Here is a 26,191-nt window from a genome sequence, read left to right on the forward strand (position 1 = left end):
CTCTGAAAATTACTAATAAATGAAGGAAGGAAGGAGAGAGAAGACTGAATTTCAACTACACAGGACCTTTGCTAATTCCTGTCTGTCCAAGAACTAAGAGAGATATAAGAACATTGGCTTGGCAATCAGACTTTCCTTGGGTAAAATCCAGGCTCTGCCACTAATCATCTCTGACTAAGGCATGTCACCTCTCTAGGCCTCCATGTCCTCATCTGTAAAACTGGGATATTAATACCTCTGTAGTGTGTAGGATTATATCATCACTCAATTGATTGATAGATAATAGATTATTCATACGAGAGTATCCAGCACGATGTCTGGTACACAACCTGCACACTCAATGCTTTTTTCCCAAAGTTCCTAAAATGGGAAAAACTTCATCCTTTTTATTTCCTCTACATCTCCCTCTTATTTTTCCCTATTATAGAAGACTTATGCTGTATGTGCAACTAAATAAAAAAAAAAATTTGAGAAAAAGTTAAGACCCTATCAGAAATTTAAGACTTCTTTACCAAAGAAGGAATTGTTTCTCCTTCTCTTTCTGGCTCCTCCTCCTCCTCTACCTCCTCCCCCTTCTTCATGCATTCATTAGAGTAGTTATGTCTGTTCACAGACCCCCTAAGGTAAACTGGAATAATGGGCAGCTTACGGAAGCAGGTTAATACAAAGGGTTAGGGACCTGGGTTCTGGAGCAGATAGCCTAGGCTTGACTCTTGGTACTGCAAGCAATTAGTTTTGTGATTCCTGATAAATTAATTAACTTCTCTGTGTCTCAGTTGCTTCATCTGTAAAATAGAGGCATTAACATTTACCTCCTAAAGTTGTTAACTGTTGACATAAGTAAAGCACTTAGAATAATGGCTGGCTCATAGTAAACTCTCACTGAATCTCATATCTTTATTGCTGATCTAATTTTGGAGATAAATATGTAGGCTCAGAGAGACTATGACTTACCCAAGGTCACACAGCAAGAAGTAACAGCAGATCTTACATCGTCTGCCTCAGCTCTCTCTTCCTTTTCCACCACACTGCAAAGGAAAGAAGGTTTATTGTGACGTCTGTAAGCAAAGACAGCCTTGAGAGCCAATATGAATTATGTGCAGCTTTAACACTAGATTGCTTGTAAGTTCCCAGAGCAAGGAGCTCATCTTAATCCACTTGATATTCCTAGTACCCACACAGCATCTGGGACAGAGTAAACACCAAGGGAATATTGGAGGAATGAATGAATAAAAAACATCAATGAGAAAATAGGGGTTGGGAATTATAATACTATTGGGAATTTTAGACTCTGATGAGTGAACCAGGTCCTGCCCATTAGTGGAGGTGTATGGAGGTGGGGAGGAGATGAAGGGGCATTTAGATTTCTAAGGGAAAGGAGGAACAAACAGACCCACCCTTAGAAAATGCAGCTCAGGTATTTCAAACACCTAATGTAAATGATGAGTTACTGGGTGCAGCAAACCAACACGGCACATGTATAGATATGTAACAGACCTGCACGTTGTGCACATGTACCCTAGAACTTAGAGTATAATAATAAAAAAAAAGAAAATGTGGTACATATACACCATGGAATACCATGCATCCATAAAAAGGAATGAGATCACGTCCTTTGCAGGGACATAGATGGAGCTGAAAGCCATTATCCTCAGCTAACTAATGCAGGAACAGAAAACCAAATACCGCACGTTCTCACTTGTAAGTGGGAGCTGAACAATGAGAACACAGGGACACAGAGAGGGGAACAACAAACACTGGGGCCTCTGGGGGGTGTAGGGGGAGGGAGAACATCAGGATAAATAGCTAATGCATGTGGGGCTTAATACCTAGGTGATGCGTTGATATGTGCAGCAAGTCACCATAGCACATGTTTACCTATGTAACAAACGTACATGTCCTGCACATGCATCCTGGAACTTAAAAGAAAAAAAGAAAAGAAAAAAGAAAATGTAGCTCAGGTATAATCTATTGGAAGGGAGCGGGGCACACTGTCTTTGATTTGGGAGATCAAGCCTATTAAGGGGTGTGTCCTGGAAGAGGGGCAGTATATTATTGAACTTACTGCTTCCTATAAGACCTCACCCCTGACTAATCCCCTTCTCCAAACCCCACTTCTGCCCAAGCTTGGAAGGAAATGGCTTGGTAGAAAATGAGCAGAAATAAAATGGCTGGTGAGGAGGAGCAATTGCCAGAGTTGCCCTAGTGAGGAGAGGTCTTTTCATGGAAATAGCTAAGTTCTCTTCTCAGGCGAAGCTGTAGTAACCATCATATTTGTGACTCACAAGGCATATTCCTGTCTGCGATCTCACTGGAGCCCCTCAAGACTGCTACAAGGTAGGAAAGGTAGAGTCTATTAGCCTCGTCTCACAGGTGTGAACACTGAGGACCACAGAGCAAGGCAAAGCTGCCCCAGGTCACTGAGGGAGTTGGGGTCAGGAGCAGGCCCTGACACAAGAATCAAATTCATACCCTGGCCTCCCCATCTAACTCATTCAGGTTCTAGATTGCACACATGGCAAGTTCCATGCCCAGGGGCCTAGACGGTTCACAGGATGCCTCCCCCAGCCTTATACCGCCATCCACACAATCCAGGTTTGAGAGTCAGAGATGGATTCTGGGTCTCTGTCTCTCAGAGCTGGCAGGAGTCTTGTTTGAGCTACTAATGTGATAGCCCTTTGTAAACTTTTGTCAGTCTGGGTATTACAAGTGGTCAGCAGGATAGATTGTGGCAGCTGCCTGCATTCAATCCACAGTTGGCCCCAAACTGACTGTATGGCCTTGGGCAAGTTACTTAATCTCTCAGGGCATCAGTTTCCTCATCTTTATAATGGAGATAATCATAGCGGATTTTGACTTTATTTAAAGATTTCTCTAAGCAGTTCAAAATTTCCATGATAGATTGGAATGCCCCATCAGGTGATGAGTCCCCATCACTAGAAGTTTCCCAAGAGGCTGGTGAATGCAAGCATCTGGATTTAGGGAGAACACTGTAAGGCTGAAGCAAGCACTGGATAGGCTCAGAGAGGCTATGACTTACCCAAGGTAACACAGCAAGAAGTAAGAGCAGATCTTTCATCGTCTGCCTCAGCTCTCTCTTCCTTCTCCACCACACTGTAAAGGAAGGGAGATGGGCTCACCAGTTCCCAATCTCCCAACTAACTTAGAATCACCCAAGGGATATTTAGAAAATGCAGTTCCATTGGCCCCACTCCTGGGTATTCTGATTGCAAACATTTCAGATGGAGCTCAGAAACCTGGGTTATTCTTAGGAGTACCCAGGTGTATTGGTTTGCTAGTGCTGTTGTAACAAAGTATCACAAACAAGGCGGTTTAAACAACAGAAATGTGTTGTCTTATGGTTCTGGAAGCTAGAAGTGGGAGACCAAAGTGTAGATAGAGTTGGTTCCTTCTGAAAGCCATAAGGGAAAATCTGTTCCACGGCTCCCTCCTAGGACCTGGTGGTTCCCATCAGTCTTTGGCTCTCCTTGTCTTGAAGATGCATTACCCTGATCTCTGCCTTCATCTTCATATTAGATTCTCCTTGTGTTCATGTCTGTCTCTGTGTCTCAATTTCCTCTTTTTATATGAACACAGTCACGTTGGATTTGGGTCCATCCATTCTAACGGCCTCATCTTAACTTGATCAGCTGTAAAGACCCTATTTTCAGATAAGGTCACATTCACAGGTTCTGTGGACTGGGACTTCAACATCATTTTGAAGAACACAATTCAACCCATAACTTCAGCCAGGGTTAAGAATCAGTGCTGTTGACCAGAGCTTTTTCAAATGGAGTGTACCCAGGAACCTCCAGGAGATCCTAGAAAACAGCAGGTTCTGACTCGGTGGCTCTGCGGGCCCTGAGTCTGCTTTTTGAACTGGAGATACTGTTGGAGCAGGTCCAGGGACCACAACGAGATCCTTTTCAAGACAAGATTCCTACAAAACCCAGAAATGATTGCCAAGCAAATAGAAGCTCTTTGCTCCATTTCTCTAGTGAAAAGAACTGCCTTTATTCTTTTTAATCTCCACTTGCAAGTAGAACTCAGATCCTTCATGCCTGTCCCGGAGGAGGAGCCCAGGAGGGGCACCCATCCTAAGGTGGAAAGAAAGGATTGGGCTCTCAAGCTTTGGAAGAAGTTTCCCTCATCCTTATCCTCCCTACCCCAGCTTTGACCTGTTTAATCTTGTCTATTCAGTCATTTTCTTATTCTTGTCGTTTTGTACTGTCCTCCCCCTGCCCCACCCAACGCCCACCCCCAACGCCATCATCTGTTAGCCCAGCTCAGCCTGAGCGCGGGTGGGTGCAGCTGGCTCCCAGGAAGTGACCGCCGTCAGGTCACCTGCGCCGGCCAAGTCACAGGCCAGAACCTCGCAGCCCAGCAAGGCCAGCCCGAGTCGCGAAGAAGTCCAGCCTCGCCCCTGGAGCCAATCTGCAGCCGCCGGCGGGGAAGGTGCGCCCCGCCCCCGCACGCGCCGCCCCAGGCCGGGGTAATCGCGTCCACAATGGAGTGCGCAAAGCCGGGTACAAAGACGACAGCTGCGTGGCAGGGCCTGCGAGGCCGTAGCAGAGGGGCAGCCACCCGCGCCTTGCAGCCTCCTTAATTTATTTATAGATGCGCTCGCTCTTTATGTGGCCTAGTTAAGGACGCCTTTCCATAAATACATAGAAACGGATGTTATTCTAGAGCCCACCAATAATAGACACAGCTGTAGAGGTTGGTGCTGAAATTAACAGCCCCACCTTGCTGTCCCCCCAAAATGGAAAATAAAATTAAAAGCATGTGTTTTGATTTGGCTTGGGTATATGCAAGTGAGTAATCCTATTTAACAATGAGATGTTTCTTTTAAAACGAAGGAAGAATGTCTTAGCAAACAACATTTTGGAGCAAGGCTATACCTTCGCTAATCAAAGTTGCCTTGTATCTGGCCCGCGACTCTCACCCTTAACTAGGAGCATCTGTTTAACCCAAACACAATCCTCTTCTTCCCCAGGCCACACGTGGTTCATTTCTTCACAAAATATGATTTGCCAAACACAATTCCGGTTCTTTCTGATCCACCCACTTGTTTGGGGCGTTGGCCCTATAACCGCTCTTTGGAGTCTAGGGGCTCAGAAAGAATCAAATCATTACTAAGCTGTGAAAGCGTCTCCAGCCTGTATCCCTTTGTTATTTCTCCCAGTTTGTTCGACAGACCCTTAATTCTATTATCTGGTTGTAATTTGGTTCTGTGTCTCTCCAACATTCTTTCCTTTATTCTGCCCTCTTTCTTTGTAATCGATTGACTCATCTGTAATTGGATTTTCTCTGGCTCTTACCAGCTATTAAAAGTAGCTATGTGTGTGTGTATGTGAGTGAGTGTGCTTTCTAACTAGGCCACACTTTCCAACGCCTTGCAATCTTTAATCTTGCTCCGAGTTTCTAAGTGTGAATTCAATTCCCTGATTCCTTGTGAGGCGTCAGGGAGTTGCAGAAAGGATACAAGCTTTAGAAGCAGTTTGGTCTCATTTGTTGTGTTTAAGGCTGACATTTATCAAGCTCATACTATGTGCCAGGCATTCTTCCAAGCACTTTACAGGCATTAATAATCCTTACACCTCCTTTTAGGGCAGATACTCTTATTACTCCATTTTACAGAAAGCAAGGAGACAAATGGGCTAAGAAACTTGCCAAGGTCAGAGCTTTTGAACACGATGCAATTTTTCTAAGTTCTCTTCATTTCGTATCTGGGTGACCTTGGGCACAGCTTCTTATTTCTGCCTCTGTTTCCACATCTGCAAAATGACTAAATGTTGGTTTCTCTCACAGGGCATTTGTTAGAATGTACTGAGGGCACAGTGCCTGGTTGTCAGTGGGGATTAAACACACAGTCAATCCCAGCGCTGGGACAATGCAAGGGAGTCCAGTAACCCCTGAGCTGTGTATTAGAGCAAAGACTAAATAAGGGAACCCTGGGAGCAAGAGTACAGAAATAGAGCACTGCTCTTAGACGCTTATAAAGCCACTACAGTCTTTGCTTTAGAGGAACTCAAACAGGAACCAAGCAGATCACTTTAGAGAATCATTAGAAAGATTCTGCTGCTGACAAGCAATGCAATTTTTGAGAGTCACTTCCTCTCTGGAGCCTCCGGGTTTCCCAAATGTAAAAGGATGGGGGGAGATGGCTGATCACTGAGATCTCTTCTGTAACTATCTCTGGGGACAGGTTTGGTGCTGTTACCTCAAGGCTGGATCAACCCTGCCACAGCAAGTGAGTGCTTACACACTTCTTAGCTTCATGTCATAGAATTCTTTAGCTGACACCACAAATGCATAAAGTAGATACTCTTATCTTCATTGCACAGATGGAGAAACTGAGCCACAGAGTCACCAAGTAACTTGCCCAAAGTGGCATGGAAGTATTAGGACAAAGATTCAAACCTTGTTCTCTCCACTAAGGCCCAGCCCTGCCCATTTCTCGTGTGGTTCTCAGGTAAAGATAGAGATGGGGTGGTGCAGACTGCAGGTGGTGAGTTAGGCACTGGGAAGGAATAAATGACTAAGGAACAATGGACGTGCCAGACCGACACCACGAGTAGCTTGTTACTTGACCATCATTTACTTTGTGTAAACTTATGACATCCATTTTTTAAACAATCTAATAGATGATTTTGCAAGGCTGTGGAATGACATAATGAATACGAAACACTTAGCATACATAACACCTGGGCCTCATTGTCTCATAACTCTCCAATCATGTGAAGTATTATAATAATTATTATTGGAATGAATGTTTAAATACAGTCTGTGTGTGCAAAGGTATACAGGGATTTTAAATATAATTACCAGATTTTTTATATCAGATTAAGATCTATTTTTTTAAGTCAAACTTTCAAAATCAGTCCTAAAAATTATAAACAGAATTGGTTCCACCTCACACGCCTCTCTCTACCAGGTCCTCATGCTGTTCAGGGGGACACAAAACCCAATTTTGACTGTCACTCAAGGGGTGCGGTGAGGAATTAACCTCTACTGCAAAACTGCAGAGTAGTATAATTTCATAACTTCAAACATCTGGCAAACTCCACAGGTAGTATTTGCAAAAGCAATTTTGCAATGACCGCTTTTGTTATCGCTTAAGTCTTTTTGAGTTTTCCTTGGGAAATCTCCAACGTTTAACATTCTGCAGATTTAGAGATTTAATTCTCAATTGTCCCAAAACCGCATGATCCCAAATGTAACACTCCTTTTCAGATTTAAACAACATGTGTGTATTAACCTTGACAGCTCAAAAATATAACCTAATTGGACCACAGTTGTATAGACTGATCATTATAGTATTGTTTGAAATAATAAATAGCTGTAAGCAACTTACATATCCAACTATGAAGAGCTGACTCAATAGCTCATGGCATCTTAACAGTACTCTAGTTACCATTAACTAAGGGTTGGAGGAGGCAGGGAATAGGGAGTGACCTCAAATGGATAAGAAATGTTCTGAAATTCAGTAACAGAATTACACAACCTTGTGGAAACACTAAAAACTACTGAACTGTACACTTTAAAGGGGTGAATTTTATGGTATGTGAATTATCTCAATTGAGAAAAAAGTTAGGAAAAAAAGATTGGTATAATTCTGCCCATTAAGAGTCAACAAACTATTATACAAATAAAATTTAAATGATGTTATAGAAATGTACCTATTGACATAGAATAAGATTGAATATATTAAGGGGGGGAACATGTACCAAGTGAGCAAGTAAGACTCATTTTGATGAAAAAGTAATATCTGTGTCCAGATGGATGTAGAATATAAACAAAAGTGTTAACTGGTTATTTCTGAAATTATAGGTGGTTTTTGTTTCTTTTTTTCATCTCTAGGGATATATATATAGGATATATATATAGAGAGATATATATATAGGATATATATATAGAGAGAGAGATATATAGGATATATATATAGATATATATATTCATAGTTGGATATATAAGTTGCTTACAGCTATTTATTATATATATATTTTATTAAGGGAGGGGGAAAAAGGAGAAAACAATTCTAGGAAGAGGAGAGGATAGATGAGAGGATAAGTTTAGACCTTCAACAAAACAGAAGTGGACAAGCTTCAACAATGTGTACAGTGTGCTCCACAATGCATGTTCTGTTCCAGGAAAACCATCATCTGTGGCCACAGGACAAATACACAAGGCTTCAATGTTTACTCGTAGACTGCCCTATCTCTTTCACTTGGATTTAGAAAATGAATAGACAGTTCTCCTGATAAAAGTTACAAACAAAGCCAACTTCATCTGTCAACCTTTTTTTTTTTTTTTTTTTTTGAGACTTTGAGACAGAGTCTTGCTTTGTTGCCCAGGCTGGAGTGCAGTGGTGAGATCTCAGCTCACGGCAACCTCCGTCCCCGGGTTCAAGCAATTCTCTTGCCTCAGCCTCCAGAGTTGCTGGGACTACAGGCACGTGCCACCATGCCCAGCTAATTTTTGTATTTTTAGTAGAGGTGGGGTTTCATCATGTCGGTCAGGCTGGTCTTGAACTGCTGACCTCAAGCAATCCACCTGCCTCGGCTTCCCAAAGTGCTGGGATAGCAGGTGTGAGCCAGTGCACCCAGCCACCTGCCAACCTCTTTTTGATAAACATAACCGAGCTTCACCTGTTATCAAAGACACCCTCTAAGATCTGTGAACAGCAATTTTTTGGTTGGTTATTTCCATATCATTGACATCATATTACAAAATCATTCCTATCAAGAAAGAAAGGAGAAATAAAATGATATTTTCAGAGCATCTGCTATAGATTAGGCATGTTTCAGGCAGTGTTGATGGCCATGTTTACTTGGCACTGACAACATGCCCAGAAGTTGAGCATTGGGACCTATTATTGTCAGAGACACAGAGAGGCTGCTACGCCAGCCTGAGCTCACCTGGCTGCTGATGGCAGAGCCAGGATCTGAATGCCAGTGTGTCTGACTCCCCAGAATCAAGTTCTAAACCTCTACAGCACACCACCCCCACCCCGATCCTTGCTCCCACAAGGTCCTTGTAGCCAACTAATTACCAAAGCACCATAGATTTCTGGAACAGCTTCTGTGAAATAAAATTGATCAGGGCTGCGAGACAACTCACTTACTGAATTGCCAGTGCTCAACCCTGACCTTCCCCATTGAGGATGAAGCCCCCAGCACACACATACTCCATGTGCTAGAAAACATAATACTAGAGGGAGAAGGTGGAAGGGGAAAGGAGAAATAAGGAGGGAAGGCAGCAAGCCTCCCTCCTACTGTGCTCCCTCCCATCCATCCAGGGCTTCCCCTGGCCCCCGCCCCCTCCCCACAGCCCTGCAGTTGGTCCCATTATCCCTTCACCCCAGCTAATTATAGTCACTGATTACCTAACGGCAAGCCCTACTATCACCTGCTTTGGCCTGACAGATTATGCCATCTGGGCCACGTGGCTAGGGTCTGAGAGCCATGAGAGGTCACAGAGAGGGGCAAACGGCTCTGAATGGGAAGAAATGTGTTTACAGCCCTGACAGCTGACTGGGCAATTAAAGGGGCTTTAGCTGTGTGTTCCCAGCTGAAACCCCTCTCCAGGGGCCTCGCCACCTAGTGCTATTAGCTGATGGGATGTGGCTGCATCTCATACCGGTCGGTTCCAAATGTGGACATGCTATGGGACTGCACCCTCTCCTAAAAAGGACAAGAAAAAGGACTCAGAGAAAGCTGTGGGCTCACAGTTGTTTGAGGTCCTTGTTGAGCCGACACCAGAATATACCCTCAGAAGAAATGGCCAGCATTTTGAGAAAGCAGTGTCCAAATACCTTTCTCACTTCCTGTGTTTATTGTACATTACCTTAAATACATGTATGAAACACACTTTATGAAATTGAACTCTATGTGACTTCTATATTAACAACTTTTGTTTCCTTATCAGCAGTGTGTCTGTCTCTAACTTTACTATGCCTGTAAATGACTGTCAATCTTATTAAGATGCAGGTTCTAAATCTGTCTATGTGGGGAAAGACAGGTGAGGTAGAACACAGTTTCAGTATTTCTAAGGAGCTCCTAGAGGAAGCAAACACCACTGGTCCACAGACCATACTTTGAGTAGCCAGGACCTAATTCACTACTGAATAAAATTAAATTAGTGAATTAATATTATATAGAAAACCTACAGATTAGTATTTCTCAAACTGTGTACTTCGGAACGCTAGTTATCCAAGAAAGCTGCCTGCGCTCCAGTAGGTTCTTAGTCAAGTAAGTTTGGGAAGCACTAGGTACTCTGGGTCCCCCTGGGAATTCACAATACACATGATTAGCATATCAGAGCTGAGAAAACCCACAGTGATCTCTTCCACTTTTTTGTGAACAGTTTGCAGTCTACTAAAAGTTTTGTGCTCTATGCCCTTAATGTTTGTTGCAATCCTTGCTGAGTATTTTATACTATCCTGATTGCTTAACCTGTCTATTAATTTCTCCATTTTGAAAATGCCTTCTCAGCCAGCCAAAGTTATTCACATGAAACACACACACGCACATGCACACACACTGGAAAGAAAGGCTTTGAGACTTCAGAGCAATGCCCATATGAGGTACTGCCATCAAATGCAGGCATTTTGGCAGTTAGTTTCCTGACAGCTTCTGAGTACAAATGAGTAAAGCTTGCCCAGCTTTTCCTACTCCCAGTTTGAGGAGGAAGCAGGAATAGAGTAAAAAGCCAGGAGGACTGGATATGTAGCATGTCTGGAGGCCTGATGGCAAAGGCCAGCAGTCAATGGAAAACTGAGTCAAGACTGATTTGCTTAGAATGCAACTTTTAAAAATTGCCAAACATTTCTAAAAGTATTTTTACATGACCTCATAAGATGCACACCATGTAATACCAAAAAAAAAAAAATGACTAAGTGGAAGGCACAATGTGACCATAGCTTGTGTGTGTCTGTGTGTACAGCAAGTGTGTGTGTGCACATGTGCAAGTAACCACACACACAACTATGAAGGAGTAAAGTGGAATCATTAAGAATATTAGCTTGAGAGTCAGACAACATTAGGTTCACATCACAGCTGATCCAAGTTTCTTAACGTTTAGTTTGTATCTTCTTTGAGGTGGGGCTGAGAATTTCCACCTCACAGGCTTATGTGGGAATTAAATGAGAGGTCTGGCAAGCACTTAGCACATTGCCTGGCTCAAATTAAACACTCCCCAAATGGGAGCTATGATTGTAACTAATATGGAAAAAGCCTGCAAGAAAATGCACAAAGTGTTAACAGTGGGTCATCTGCGAGTGATGAAATGAATTTTTTTATTTGTATATTTCTGTATTATCCAAAACTACTCAAAGAAAAAATATTTTAAGTCAAAAAATTAAACAAACTTTATTAAGTAAAATGTTAATTGTAGATTTAGGGGCTGGTAAAATGTGGGTCATTTTTATTTTCTCCTTTATGCTTTTTAATATTTCTCAAATTGTCCACTATTTACTAACTTTAACAGTTTTTTAATATAAAAGCCAGGCCTATACATATTTGGATATTTTGGAGAAATACAGAAAAACCCTGAAAAGAAAGTGAAAAATAACTGACAGTCTCATGACTTTTTCCTTTATGCTTATTTTTTGTTGTTTAAATTTATAAAGTACAGACTCACTCCTAAATGAATGGCCTTCTTGAATTGTAGGGTGCACATTGTAAACAGTCACATCCAGTGGTCCTAAAACAGTCCCCCACTGCCCACCTCCCACCACTCTCCCCAGAAAAAGTCACTGATAAATTGGATATAAATTCTTCCAGCATATATCTAAGACACACATGTGCATGTATGTATATGTTTCTATGATTAGGTAGAAATATCTACATTAAAAAATCCAAGAAAGATTTTGGAGGCCCCCTAAATGTAATGAATATAGAGAAAATCTGTCCCTCAACTCGACTCTGGGAGGGAGAACACCTTCTTCATATTCTCCATATATGAATTTATTTCAGCAAATGTGCAGTAAGCACCTACTCTGTTCTAGGGAGTGTGCAATTTACTAAACAAAGATGAAAAAGACACTAGCCCTCTGATCTCAACAAGCTCCCAGTCTATCAGGGAAATGCACGTATTATAAATGTTTGCAGTGCTATGTGGCATATACAATAATAGAAGCTGATAATAGGTCCAGAGGCAGTAATAAAAGACAATAAATCCCTCCTTCTCTAGGGATTCAGGAAGACTTCCTGGAGAAGGACTTATCTGACTTGAGTCTAAAAAATTATACATTCTGGTTCCTATCAGACCTATGAAACTTGCAGTTTGCCCACATTCATTATGTCTACTCACATCTCCGTTCTTGGGCTGCAACACATCCCCACGCTTCTCCTCCTGGCTAAACCCTACTCAGTCTTCCAAACCTAACCAGAAGTCACTTTTTGGAAGTTTTCCATCACTACCCGGACTATAGGAAGTACCCATACTTTCTGTGCATGCGTATTTGTCATAACTTACCTTAAACTGCTTAGTTATATGCCTGTCTCCCTACAGGACTGAAAATCAGTATTTTACCTTATTCATATTTGTGTGATGAGGCAGGACTGAACACCTGGGGACAACTGAACATCATGCCTGGTACACAGTTAGTGCCAAATAAATGTTGCCTGAAAAAAGTACAGCACTAGAGTAGCAAAACATTAGGCCCATAATACCTATGGCCACTTCTGGCATAAAGAACATGTTTGTGCTAATCAGAAAACTCCTTTTCAGAGCCAACCAATTTGAAAAAAATGCTCCTTCTAGGAGCACATAGTTCTTAAGGTATGCAGATGAGCAAACAGACAGTACCTTGTGTTTATGGGAAGAAGTCGTCATTTATTCTGGCTCTTCCTCCAGGTTAAAGCAGCCCTAGTAAGCAAGAGCAGAGGCTGGAGTCCAGCCCCGGGACATTCATGTGAGCGTCCACCACTGTCAACTGTAGCCCTGATGACAGGGTGATGAACAAGATGGGTTTCTTCTCCATGTGGAGCCTAAAATCTGTTCAATTCAACAGTCAAGTAAACCCACATAATAAGTGGGTGCTTATAAAATGCAAAGTGAATGAATAAATGTTAAAAAAAGAATCAATTTTCTCAGACTGATTTTGACTGGATATAGTTAAGTCCTACTCTGTGTCTGCTTTGTGCTCTTACTAAGGTCCCCTTTGACTGAATCCTAATTCCCTTTCTTCCTGGCTGAAGGTTCTGGAGGCCTCTGGCTTGTTTTTGACAGGTTGAGTTTGCACAGGACTCAGATCAGCACTGAGGGGGCCCTATCAGGGCTTTTATGTAACTGACACACCTCCACTTTGGCTACGATGCTAGGATGCTCGTCAGAATGCCCTTGTCTCTCCTCCATGCTTTTAAGCGAGGTCTTTAATAATAACACACACACACACACTGTTTTACACTGCAGAAGCATTGATTAGTGACAGTCTCACTGGGTGTGTCATCCTGAGGGAGAGGAGGAGCGAGATCTGACCCCACTGTTACTCACAGCTCTTGATGCATGGTGAGCATTCCCAAGTCCTGAAAGAGTATTTCTAAGCCAAAACTCCAATTTGATTGGTGGATACAATGAGCAGATCACCTGGCATGACAGACGTGGCAATCACCCACGATGCTTCAATGAGCTGCCTAAGGCTATTCCACCAGGAGTCAAGCCTACCTGGGGCTCCTGAACCCTCACTGAGGGCTCTTTAAGTGCCACACACAGGGCAAATGGCCACCAGGGGGTGTCTCTGAAATGCCCCTGAGGTCCTCAGACATGAATAACAGCAGGATCAGCAGTTTCATTAAAGAGCAAATTATAGCCCAAGGTGGTTTTAAATGCCTGTGGGACCAGTCCTTTGCTTTGCAATTGCACAGCCTCCACTTTTTTCTCATGTCAGAACTCTTGCAAAAGTATCCTTATTGGGCGGTCCAGACTTGCCCCTTCTCCCTGCTTACTTTCAACTCACTTTTATTTTTCCCATCCAGCCAACACTGAAATTAGACCACCTCTGTGCTAGAAGATCATCATCATCTCTCAGACTGTCCCCCAGAAATAGCTCCCACTTCTCAGCATGACATTGGGGTTACTCTTATACAGTGACTTCCCTCTATTTGGGTAGAGTCACATCTTCTCAGCTAGATGAAATTTCCTTAAGCAAGAAAATCACGTCTTCCTCAGTGAAAAGTGGTAGACAAAATCACAGACTCTGGAGTCAGTCACAGACCTGTTTATAACTTTTAGCTGCCTTTAACTTTCTGGCCTGAAGCAGTTTCCTTTCTTTACCAAATCTCAGTTTTCTCAGCTGTAAAAGGGGTATCATAATAATAATGACGATGATATAGGGCTGTGTGAGGTTTACTAATGATGCAGACAGAGCCATTATAAAGTATACAGCATAGCAAGTGCTCTATAATATCAGTTACTATTATTATGTGAGAAGGTAGGATGTATTTAGGGAAATATGGTAGTTTGCTGGTGGCTGGAACTTCAGCTGAGGGGAGAATAGACAGAGATGAGGCTGGAGAGCTAAGCCAGATCAAGATGACAAAAGGCCCCCTGAGCCAATGCTAAGAAGTTGGGACTGATCGTGAGGACAAGAGTGGGCATCAGAAGATATTAAGCAACGGAAAGACTAATCTGATTTTTACCTTAAAGCCTTCCTTGGCTGTTAGGGGAGCATGGTTCCAGAGATAGGACAAACGAACGTCAGAAAAACCAGTTAGGAGGCTGTTGCAGTCATACTGGTGAGGGCTGATGAGGGTTTGAGATGATGACCCTGGATGATTTATTTCATGCCTTCTACCTACAAATAGTCATTAGATGCGCCAAAGTGAGTAAGACCTAGTCCCTGTCCTTGGGGAGCCCATGGTCCATTGACACAGATGAAAAAACTAAGTACTGTATAAATGAGTGAAGAATAATGGAAAAGAAATGGGCACTACTTGGAAGCAAAGAGAAAATAGTACTGTCTGCCTCTCATGGGGAGGAGGCTCCAAGAAGGCTTCAGGGAGGATGCAGCCAGTGAAGGCTTCCTCTTTCCTGAAGGATCCTCTCTGCTATCTTAAAGATAACCCAGAAAGAAATGGCTGGATATTCTAATATAGCCCATTGTCCCCAGGACGGGAATTCTCAGCATGTATAATGCACCCAAAGATGAAATAGGGAGAATGCTTCTCAGAGATGAAATACTATGAGTTGGCTGGGCATGGTGGTTCACACCTACAATCCCAGCACTCTGGGAGGCCGAGGCAGGTGGATTGCGAGGTCAGGAGTTCGAGACCAGCCTGGCCAACATAGTGAAACCCCATCTCTACTAAAAATACAAAATTCAGCCAGGCTTTGTGGCATGCACCTGTAATTCCAGCTACTCGGGAAGCTGAGCAGGAGAATTGCTTAAACCTGGGGGGCAGAGGTTGCAGTGAGCCGAGATCAGGCCACTGCACTCTAGCCTGGGTGACAGAGCAAGACTCCATCTGGGGAAGAAAAAAAAATACTACGAGTTTCTGAAAATCTCTAAATTCCATTTTTGTGACTATGCTTTAAAACTTTAATCTCCCCCTTTGTGCTATAATGTCTGTGTTTTGTATTTTTTTCCTTCTTTCTTTTTTATACATCATCTTGCTTCTTGCTTTGTTGCCCTGGCTAGAGTGCAGTGGCACAATCATGGCTCACTGCAAGCCTCAACCTCCCCAAGGCTCAGGTGATCCTCCCACCTCAGCCTCCCAAGTAACTGGTACTACAGGCATGCACCACCATGCCTGCATAATTTTTGTATTTTTTGTAGAGACAGGGTTTCGCCAACTCGCCCAGCTTGTTCTGGAACTCCTGGGCTCAAGTAATCTGCCTGCCTTGGCCTCCTAAAGTGCTGGGATAAGAGACATGAGCCACCATGCCTGTCTGTTTTTTGTATTTTAGAAGGGAATTACTTGGATAAAGATAATAGCTTGCTCTTGTGTTTTATTTGTCTGTCTAGCTGTCATTTTAAAAATTTCCCTGAGAAACTTTTTTAGCAGAAACAGGGGTTCTGAAATAAACTGGAATTTAATGTTCCATTAACATTTCAAAAAATGCCAGCAAGCAGTTTGAATAGATAATTACTTACGAGGGAAGCATGCTGGGTGTGTTTGCTCTCCATAGGTCCACCAGAAAGAAAATGTTTCAAAGTGGATTGTGTCACCAAAAATTATTTGGACTATTTTGGTCTCCACAATTATAGATTAACATTTACATTTGGACAAATGGTCTCCAATTGGGTTGCCCATTAAGTGATTGAGTGCAGGAGCAGTGGTAAATGAAACCTAGTATGCAAGCCTCAGACAGGAAGGTGGTGATGAGTTGCAAAAGGTGAGAAATGCTATAACTCCTGGTTCCTACCTTCAGCTGTGCCAGAAGAAGATGGGCAGCCAAGAACTGAACCCGGGATGTCCACAGTGCTAATAAAAGCCCAATCCTTTATAGAATTTTTCAAAGTACTTTCCCATGCACCATCTTGTTTGATCTCACCACCACCCTGAGAAAGACAAGACAGGAGCTCTTGTCCTCATTTTACAGCTGTGGAAACTGAAACTGTGATTCTGATGACTTAAGAAGGGCACACAATGAGGGCAGAAAGGGGCCACAGTTCAGACCAGCTCTTCTGATCCTCAGTCCTGTGATCTGACCACTATACCACATGGCCTCTCAAAAATCTTTGAACAGTCACAGCTCAAAGTAAGGGCTCTGGTAATGAAAGCATATATGAATGTAGCTGGTACATTAATGGGTATAAAATGATTACTCAGAAATGGCCTGACCTCCTGCTGCCAGGGAGTGGCCATGGGGATGCTGCTGGTGAGATCCCATAGGGCAGTGGATTTCATTGAGGCCTCCAAGCAGCAGAATCCCACTTGCCATGCAAAGCCTGGGGGACCCAGGGAAAGAAGCCACACAGAGGAAGCCCTCACAACAGAGAGACTGGAAGCAAAGCCACCAGGAGAGGTAAATTGCTGACATATTGGTGGAGAAACACTGTTCTTCAAAGCTGAAGACATCACACTACCCAACTTCAAACTATCCTACAGGGCTACAGTAACCATAACAGCATGGTACTGTTACAAGAACAGACACATAGACCAGTAAAACTGAATAGAGAAAACAGAAATAAAACCACACATCTACAACTATCTGATCTTCAACCAACCTGACAAAAACAAGCAATGAGGAAAGGATTCCCTATTTAATAAATGGTGCAGGGATAACTGAACCCCTTCCTTATGCCATATACAAAAGTCAGCTCAAGATGAATTAAAGACCTAAATGCAAAACCCAAAGCCTAGGCAATACCCTAGAAGAAAACCTTGACAATACCATTCAGCACATTGGCATGGGCAGAGATTTCATGATGAAGATGCCAAAAGCTATTGCAATAAAAGCAAACATTGACAAATGGGATTTAATTAAACTAAAGAGCTTCTGCACAACAAAAGAAACTATCAACAGAGTAAACAGACAACCTACAGAGAAACATTTTTCCCTCATTCAAAAGAGGGCAAAAGACATGAAAAGACACTTCTCAAAAGAAGATATACATTCGACCAACAATCATATGAAAAAAAGTTCAACGTCACTGATCATTAGAGCAACTCAAATCAAAACCACAAAGAGATACCATCACATATAAGTCAGAATGGCTATTATTAAAAAGTCAACAAATAACAGGCTGGCAAGGTTGCGGAAAAATAGGAATGCTTTTACACAGTTTGTGGGAGTGTAAATTAGTTCAACCATAGTGGAAGACACTGTGGCAATTCCTCAAGGACCTAAAAAAAGAACTACCATTTGACCCAGCAATCCCATTACTGGGTATATACCCAAATGAATATAAATTGCTCCATTATAAAGACATATGCACTTGTATGTTCATTGCAGCACTATTCACAATAACAAAGACATGAAATCAACCTAAATGCCCATCAATGATAGATTGGATAAAGAAAATGTGATACATATATAGCATGGAGTACTATGCAGTCATAAAAAAGGAATGAGATCATGTACTTTGCAGGAACATGGATGGAGCTGGAGGCCATTATCCTTAACAAAGCAATGCAGGAGCAGAAAACTAAATACTGCATGTTCTCACTTACAAGTGGGAGCTAAATGATGAGAACACATAGAAACATAGAGAGGAACAATGCACACTGGGGCCTACTGGAGGGCAGAGGGTAGGAGGAGAGAGAGGATCAGGAAAAATAATGAGTGGATACTAGGCTTAATACCTGGGTGATGAAATAACCTGTACAACAAACCCCCATGACACACATTTACCTGTGTTACAAACCTGCACATCCTGCACATGTACCCCTTAAATTAAAATAAAAGTTAAAAAAGAGAACAGTATTTCCCTGTTCTTTGAAGAAGTGTACAAGGCCAAATTAGGACTCTTCTATTGTTAGCATTATAGGATGCAAAGCAAGAAGCTTAGACCAGAGGCAAGAGGGCAGTGTGAGACACACAGACCAAAACCGAATCTTTTCCTATCATCATATTTCACCAGATTAATGAAGGGTCCCCCTGGTCCATGAGGGAGGCAAACTGGAAACTATCAGACCCTACGAACTCCTGACTTTTCAAAGACTTCCTCAATTGGCCTTAGGATAACATGCAAATTTCACAAGAGGATCCACCTGCTTACCTTCTCAGCTTTGTCTCTCATCACGCTCCACACCCCGCATGTGTATTCACAAACACCCCACACAGGACCTAAAACATGCATTACCCCACTTCCTTTGCTATAGCTTACAGTCTCTTGTTTCTAGGTTTTGGCCCTTGCTATTCTTTGTCTCAGCTTCATTTCCTCCCTCCCACCCCAATTGCCTAACTCCTAACCATTCTTCAAGTATCAGCCTACAGGCCACTTCCTGCAGGAAGTGTCTCTCCAGCACCTCCACCCTTACAGGCTAAGTTTGCCTGCCATGCTCTCCCATGTCAGTCTGCACTTCCTCAAACTTCACTGTAATTGCTTGATTCTTATTCTGTCCTCACCACCTGGCAATTACTTGGTAGAAGCAGGGACTGCTGACGTACTCACTATGGTAACCTCAAACCGGGCACTGTAGTATTTGTTGAGTGATGGAATAGATTAATTCTTTAATTAATTTAGCTCATGGTAAAATATAGTAAACAAAAAGCATTTCTCCTCTATAGGTGGTTAGTTCAGTTGGGCTTAGCTCCACAAAGATCCGGCTGGGCAGGCCTCCATGCCATGTTACATAAAAACCTAAGCAGACTATTAGAGTCAAGATTCTGCTGCAAAAGTGAGCAAGAGTCCTATTTACAGAATTCTGTCTTAAGAAGGCTTATTTCTGTCTGGGTGTGATCCAAGTTACTGAGGGCTTTAAACAATTGGGAAAAACATTATCTTTGGAAAGTAAAATCCAACCCCTGTCCCTTGGTTCTTGCCAAATATCTCCCACAACCCACATTAAGTAGATTACTCTGTCCTTAATCACATGCTAAATGCCTGCATCTGTGGCTGGCATCAGCTGAGTGTGAGGCAGCTGCAATCCCCGTGTATATCTCCTGCTATTACAGCAGGAAATCAACTGGGTAAAGAACCCCCAGTAGTGGGTGAGAAACAAGACAATACAGGTTAAGATCTTCATTCATTCATTCGACATTAGTTAATAGTCAATTATATTCCAGGTATTGAAAAGAGAAAAATAAGACATTCCCTTTCTTTGAAGCGCTCACTAGGGAAAAAAAAAGTGCTTAGAGAATGAAAAATTCCTTGTAATTGTTTAGCCTTCACTTCTGAAACTTTAATGTGAATTTTAAGTCACTTGGGTGTCATGTAAAAATGAGGTTCTGATTCAGTAGGTCTGGGGTAGGGCCTGAGAGTCTGCATTTCTAACAGACTCCCAGGTGACACTGATGCTGCTGGTCTGGGACCACACTTTGAGCAGAAAGCATCACAATATACTCGCAAGAGAGAGAGACAATAATCGTATCCTCATTTAACTCATGTCCTTCTCACACGAATGCTGAGAATGAATACAGGAGGTTCTTTATGACCCTTTCATAGATTAAAAAAAATCATTGACTCTAGGGGGAATACACTTTTCCCAAGGGTATCACAAATGCTAAGGCCTGAATTCATTTATTCATATGCAGTACCCCAAATCCCCAACTTAACCCTCTGTGTTGCCCCCTAACCTTAGCTGCTGATCACAGCCATGACTCTTCTGCCTCTGGATGCAGACTTGGCATCTGCTGGGTGTGGCCTCCCAAGCCTCACATTGACCACATTGACAGCCATAACCCCCTCCTTTGTGATTGGCCTCTGCTGACCTTCACTGGTTTCGTGGCTCCCAGGACAATGGACTGAGGACCACAGGGAGTGGAATAAGAACGGAGTTTGGAGAATACAGGAACACTTATCACCTCTAGGTCTCAGCCAGGTCCCTGAGCACCTGCCATCCCCTCCACACTTCACGGTATCCCTGAACAAGTTACCTGCAGACAACAAGCCACTGACCCAAGGGGAATGGGAGAGAACTGCACTTGGTGAGCACCTGCAATGTGTAGGAGTTTGCACAAGTGATTTCCTTGAGTTATCTCTTTCAAGAGGTATAATATGTGTTATAATCTTCACTTGTACATGTATTTATTCATTCAACACTAGTTAAGGACCAGCTATGTTCTAGCCACTGAGTAGAGATAAATATAAGACACATTCCTTCTCTTCAAGGGATGCTTGAAGAGTGGGTGACAGGCCCCAAATCACCCAGCTAGGAAGTGTGGCAGGAACAGAAAACCATCATCTCTCCAGCCTAAACTCATCACCTTTTCCATCCTCAGTGAACTTGTTGGACCAGCAGCCTTCATCATCTGAAAAGTCTATTAATAATACAGAGATTATGATTCAGTAGGTCTTGCAAGAGGCCCTATAGTTGGCATTTTTACCAATGTCACACCAAGAGATTCTGATCCTAGCAAACTTCAGATCATACTTTAAAAGCTATGGCCTCAGACAAACTATATAAGTAATGCAGGAGCACTGACCATCTTCCCTAAGATCCTGCTTGGTGCAGAGAGAGCAGACATCCTCCTACCTTGGGGAGACTGAGTCGACTGGAAAGAAGAGTGCAATTACTGCATCCAGCCAAATTTGGAAGCAATATAACAAGTGTTACATCTGAGGCCAGGAATGCAGCCCTGCTAGAATGCTGCAGTGCTGGCAGGGCGCGTGTGGGTGGCGCAGCCTGAGAGTCCCACCCCCACACTCACATCATGTCATGCTATTATGACCGGTGTTCCTCCGTACTGCTGTCCTTCCATGTGATTATCGCATTGTGGCTTTCAGTCCCACAATCCTAAGGGATGAGCCACCTGGGTCCTTATGTAGGCAGGTGCTCTCAGTAAACACCCTCCCCAAGTAACTGCACAGCTAGAGTTAACCCCAGGCAACTGGACTCAACAGGAAATCACCCAGAGCCACCAACTAAGACAGAGAATGGGAGCATAATGAACCCATCTGGACAGAGGAGCTGAGCCCAGATGAGCTGGGGACAACTGAGATGGTAGAAAGAGTACTGAGATGAGAGTCCTGGGTTCCAGACCCAATTACTGACTGCAGGATCCTCAGCAAGTCATGTCCCCTTTCTGGGCCGTTGTATCCTCATGAGTAAGATCCTTTCCAGCTCTGATTTTCTGAGCCCTTGATTTTATTACAGGGTGAAGACACTTGCTCGGCTTGAAATGGGAAGCCTGAGATCCACTCCTGGCGCTTTTCTCATTGCACCCTTCACTCCTGGAAAACTGGTCCACTCCTTTCCCCGGAAGGCATCTGAGTCACTCCCATCCTAATTCCCTCCTCCCTCCCTATATGTGTGTAGGGCTACTGGGATATCTCATAGAATGATTCGGAAAGGGGAAGGAAATGGGAATATTCCAAAAGCAAAAGTTTGTAGCCCCCATTTCTAGTATGCTACCATTAGCTACTGCCAGTACCACCACCTTCCAGCCTTTGTATCTTTCTGATTTAAATATTAAATTCTAGGAGAGGGAGAATTTCATTGCCCAGGTGGGGCTGGATGCCTAGTCCTGTCTCAACCAGGTATGGCCAGGTGGGCAGGGTCACTAAATGGAAATATGGCCAGTTAGAGTCCACTGCATGTTAGAGGCAGGCTACAGAAAAGGAGGCTGCCATACCAGGGCTGAACACAGTAATAATTCCTGGGGGACTCGAGCCTTTCCTGTCCTTCCAACTCTTCTCTACCACTGATGCTCTGTCCTTTCCTAGGCCTACATGGGCTCCTGCAGGATGCAAAACTCAGTGCTCAGGACAGCACTGAGCACTCTCAGCCTGATCCTCCACAAAGCACATGTTATTCACTCTGTCTCCAGAGGTCAGCCTTCACTCAGAGCTCATGAATTCTGGAGCTGAGTAAAACACTGACTATGATCCATCACAGCAGAACAGTCAGCTTACTGCCATCTTCCAGGAATCCTGCCAGAAAATCTTTATGGGGCGTTTATTATATTGTAAAGGTCTATACTCAGTGCTGTGGATAAATACAAGCTCAGACATACATAGACTCTCTTCCCAAGAAGGCCATATAGGAGAGAGAATAGAAAACAGATAACAATGTAACTAAACAGTTCCCAAGAACTTTCAGGAGCCAAGCACAGAAAGCAGTGGGAGAACTTTGGGAAAGGAGAGAGGTCAGTAAAGCATTTCCAGGGAAGGTGACACCTGGTAAATTGCATCTTAGATGAAGAGTAGCAGTCAGCCAGAAGAAAAGATGGAAGACAGTTTCAGGCAGAAGTAACAGCCTGGGAAAAGGCTCAGAGGCATTCTACAGTACAGGAAAGGAAGAGCTTGTCTATGTGAGGCGAACCGAACATGTGAGACACACAGTCCGGTGAAGTTGAGATTGGAGGGCTGGGCAGGCGTTATACCATGCTAAACTGAGCGGATCCTGCTGAACCTGCTGAGCAGTGTGGAGGAGTGGGAAACAAGGGTGATTACAGTCATCCCAGACAAGAGATGATAGAGATATTCCACAAGGTGGAATTTAAGCTAAGACCTAGAAAACAAGAAGGAGCCAGCCATAGGGAAACCAGAGAAAAGAATATTCTAGGCAGAGAAACAAAAAACTGTGAAATCCCCAAGAATGGAAGATGCATGGAGCAATAAAAAGTCAGGGGGTGGTTGAAAGAAGCAAGAGCAGTGAGATTGGTGAGGGAGGAAAACCCTGAGGTCCACCCTGTTCACGTTTGAATTTTCTTCACAGGGAAGTCTTTGGAGCGTTCTAAACAGCCAATTTCCATGATCTCATTAGCATTCGTTTTTAAAGACTATCTTCTTATTGTGTGGGCAGTGGACCGCTGGGAAGTGAGAATGCAAGCAGGAAGAACAGACAGGGGTTTATTGACATATTCCAGTAAAGAATGATCAGGATGGCCAAGGGGCAGAGTGACTTGGCCAGATTAGAAAGAAGTTAGAAGTTTTGGAGATAGAATGGGCAGAAATAGCTCATGGCATAGAGAATGGTGATAAGAAGAAAGAAAATCTGACTCGTTTGCAAGTGCCACTGAATATATGGTAGTGTATTTACCAACGGGGAAGATGGGCAGATGAGCGAGGTCTGATTTTGGGGGTGGATAGAGGAAATATGGAAATCAAGGGCTCTCTTTTGAATGTGTTATGTTTGAGATGCATTTTAGATCTGTAAGTGGAGATGTCACCTAGCAGATGGTTATATAGGTTTCACTCTATGACTAGAGACAAAAAGTTGAATATCATTAGCATATAGATGGTATTTGAAGACATGGGACTGGAGGTACAGGACGTACCTAGACAGAAAGTGAGACAGAGAGAAAAAGGAGATTTGGGGTCATACTTGTGGCCAACCGACATTTTAAGACAGAGAAGAAGAGAAAATTGAGTAGGACTAGCCTGTGAGATTATTACTGGCCTGTGAGAGAATGTGGTTTCAGAGAAACCAAAAGCAGGGGTATTGCAGTGGGGCTGGATGGTGGGGTTGTGGGGTAGGAAGATATTTTAAGAAGGGAAAAGTGGGTCAGACACAGTGGCTCATGCCTGTAATCCCAGCACTTTGGGAGGCCGAGGCCAGTGGATCACAAGGTCAGGAGATAGACACCATCCTGACTAACATGGTGAAACCCTGTCTCTACTAAAAACATAAAAAATTAGCCAGGCATGATGGCACATGCCTGTAGTCCCAACTACTTGGAAGGCTGAGGCAGGAGAATTGCTTGAATCTGGGAGGCAGAGTTTGCAGTGAGCCGAGATAGTGCCACTGCACTCTAGCCTGGGCGACAGAGCGAGACTATGTCTCAAAAAAAAAAGTGAACGACTGTATCTGATGTAGCAGATAGGGCAGGTAAAATGTGAACTGAGAAATAGCCATTATATTTATAACCCAACCCTCTAACACCACACTACTGGCCCATAGTAGATGATCAATAAATGTAAGTTGAATTCATTGACTGAAAGAACTAGCCCAGGAATGGCAAATATAGAACAGTTTTAGCTTCCAAGTTACAACAATTATTGCCTTTTTGAAAATAATTGAGACTCAGCCCCAGAATCCTTAAGCACTATCGAGTAATTAGAATTGTCATGCAGATTTAATCTATTTGCCATTCCTGGTGTAGACTAAACAATCAGGACAGGACTTTTCATCAGAGTTGTTCAATAGAGCCTCATTAGCCCAGCTTCAGGAGGAACCACAAACCATCTGCTAAGAGTCTTGCAGCGGGAATTCCTGCTCTGGTGGAGCCTGAACCAGGTGATCGCTAAGGCCCTTCAGAGAGTCTGTGGTTCAGATGGCAATTCCTTCTAACATGCAGCTGTTCAAAGCACAAAGAGAAAAATCCAACCTAGCCTAGGGTTAATAAGGGCAAACTAAATCTTTCCTAAAACTTCCTTCTATGCATTTTTTCTCCCTCTTATCTTTACTGGCCTCCTGAAATGTCTTATCTGCAAAGACATGATTCTGTTCTAAATCTCTGTCTATGAACACAGTTATCATTTTTGCTTCTTCCACACGATAACATTAACCTAACTTACCCATTCAGCCATAGGCAGACTGTCTTCATCTCTAAATGATGCACTCCCCCACATAAAATAAAGGCAGACACTTTTATTCTTTAGTCCAAAGTACTTAGCATTATGAAGAGACAGCTGCTGCAGACAAATCTTGGGTCTTTGGAACCTTAATACTTTGAAATTTATTCCTCTTCACCACCTGGAGGCTCATGAGTCCATTTGTGGACTCTCCCACCTAATGCTGCCTTGCAAGTTAATGAGCAGTTGGTACATAGACATGCAAGTTATAACTCTTCTATAACTGCCTACATCCATATTGCAGTTGAAAGGGCAGAAAATTAACCACTAGAAGTGTCTCAGTGCCCTCTATCTCCTCTCACCTTTATTCATTACTTCAACGAACATGTACTGCATGCCAGATTCCACACTGTTTTCTAGAATAGAATCAAGAGGTACAGTGAGGAATAAGATTTGGTTTTCTTTCCCACCTGGGGCTCATAAATGGGCTTTACAAGTTCTATATGTCCTTCTGAAATGACATTCAAAATGCTGCGTGTGTGTGTGTGTGTGTGTGTGTGTGTGTGTGTGTGTGTGTGTCTGCCTCCAGAAAGAGGTTTATAATTTTCATCAGATTTAGAATCCAAAAGAGCTAGGGATCAATGGGAACCTAAAGTCAGCTTTGACACTTCCCTTTCTGTCATCCCAGATGACATACAAACGAATCACCAAGGATTGCCAGGTTTGTTTTTCATTTTCCCCTAAATTGCTCTAGATCTATCTCCCACTGTCCATCCCCCACCTTAGTTCAAGCTACCCTCATTTCATTAGTTAACAGCCCTGCCTCCTACATGGCATCTCTGCCATCCTCCAATCTATTCTCCATACTGAAGTCAGAGCATATTTTCAGCTCTCTAATCTGATCATTTCGACCTCTTGCTTAAAACCTTTCAATGGCTTCCCACTGCTCTGAGCATAAATGCCAAGCTATAAACATTCCCATGAGCATTTGCAATCACGACACATTGTTCTCTACTATTCTCTTCGCTCTGTGAACTCCAGCCTCGTGCAACTTCATTTTCATCTTTAAATTCTCTTTCCACTCTCCTGCCATGGGGCTTGAGCACATTCTGCAATCTC

At 43.1% G+C, this 26,191-nt stretch overlaps 1 long non-coding RNA gene across 1 annotated transcript in view, besides 2 other annotated features; it reads right to left on the minus strand.

The window, feature by feature from the left end:
- The window catches only part of LINC00504 (long intergenic non-protein coding RNA 504), a 417,705-nt gene that overhangs the window by 388,124 nt on the left and 3,390 nt on the right, over nt 1–26,191 (minus strand). Inside the window, exon 2 of the long non-coding RNA NR_126435.1 lies at nt 955–1,028. This is a non-coding gene — a long non-coding RNA (long intergenic non-protein coding RNA 504). The remainder of the gene's footprint in view (nt 1–954; nt 1,029–26,191) is intronic.
- Nucleotides 16,447–16,496: an enhancer, noted in NCBI's record as "active region_21333". NCBI's record gives its function as "activates an Ori minimal core promoter by ATAC-STARR-seq in GM12878 lymphoblastoid cells {active_cell/tissue: GM12878}" and the evidence as "EXISTENCE:reporter gene assay evidence [ECO:0000049][PMID:35858748]".
- Nucleotides 16,887–17,016: an enhancer, noted in NCBI's record as "active region_21334". NCBI's record gives its function as "activates an Ori minimal core promoter by ATAC-STARR-seq in GM12878 lymphoblastoid cells {active_cell/tissue: GM12878}" and the evidence as "EXISTENCE:reporter gene assay evidence [ECO:0000049][PMID:35858748]".

Source organism: Homo sapiens, chromosome 4 (assembly GCF_000001405.40).
Source record: "Homo sapiens chromosome 4, GRCh38.p14 Primary Assembly".
NCBI lineage: Eukaryota > Metazoa > Chordata > Mammalia > Primates > Hominidae > Homo > Homo sapiens.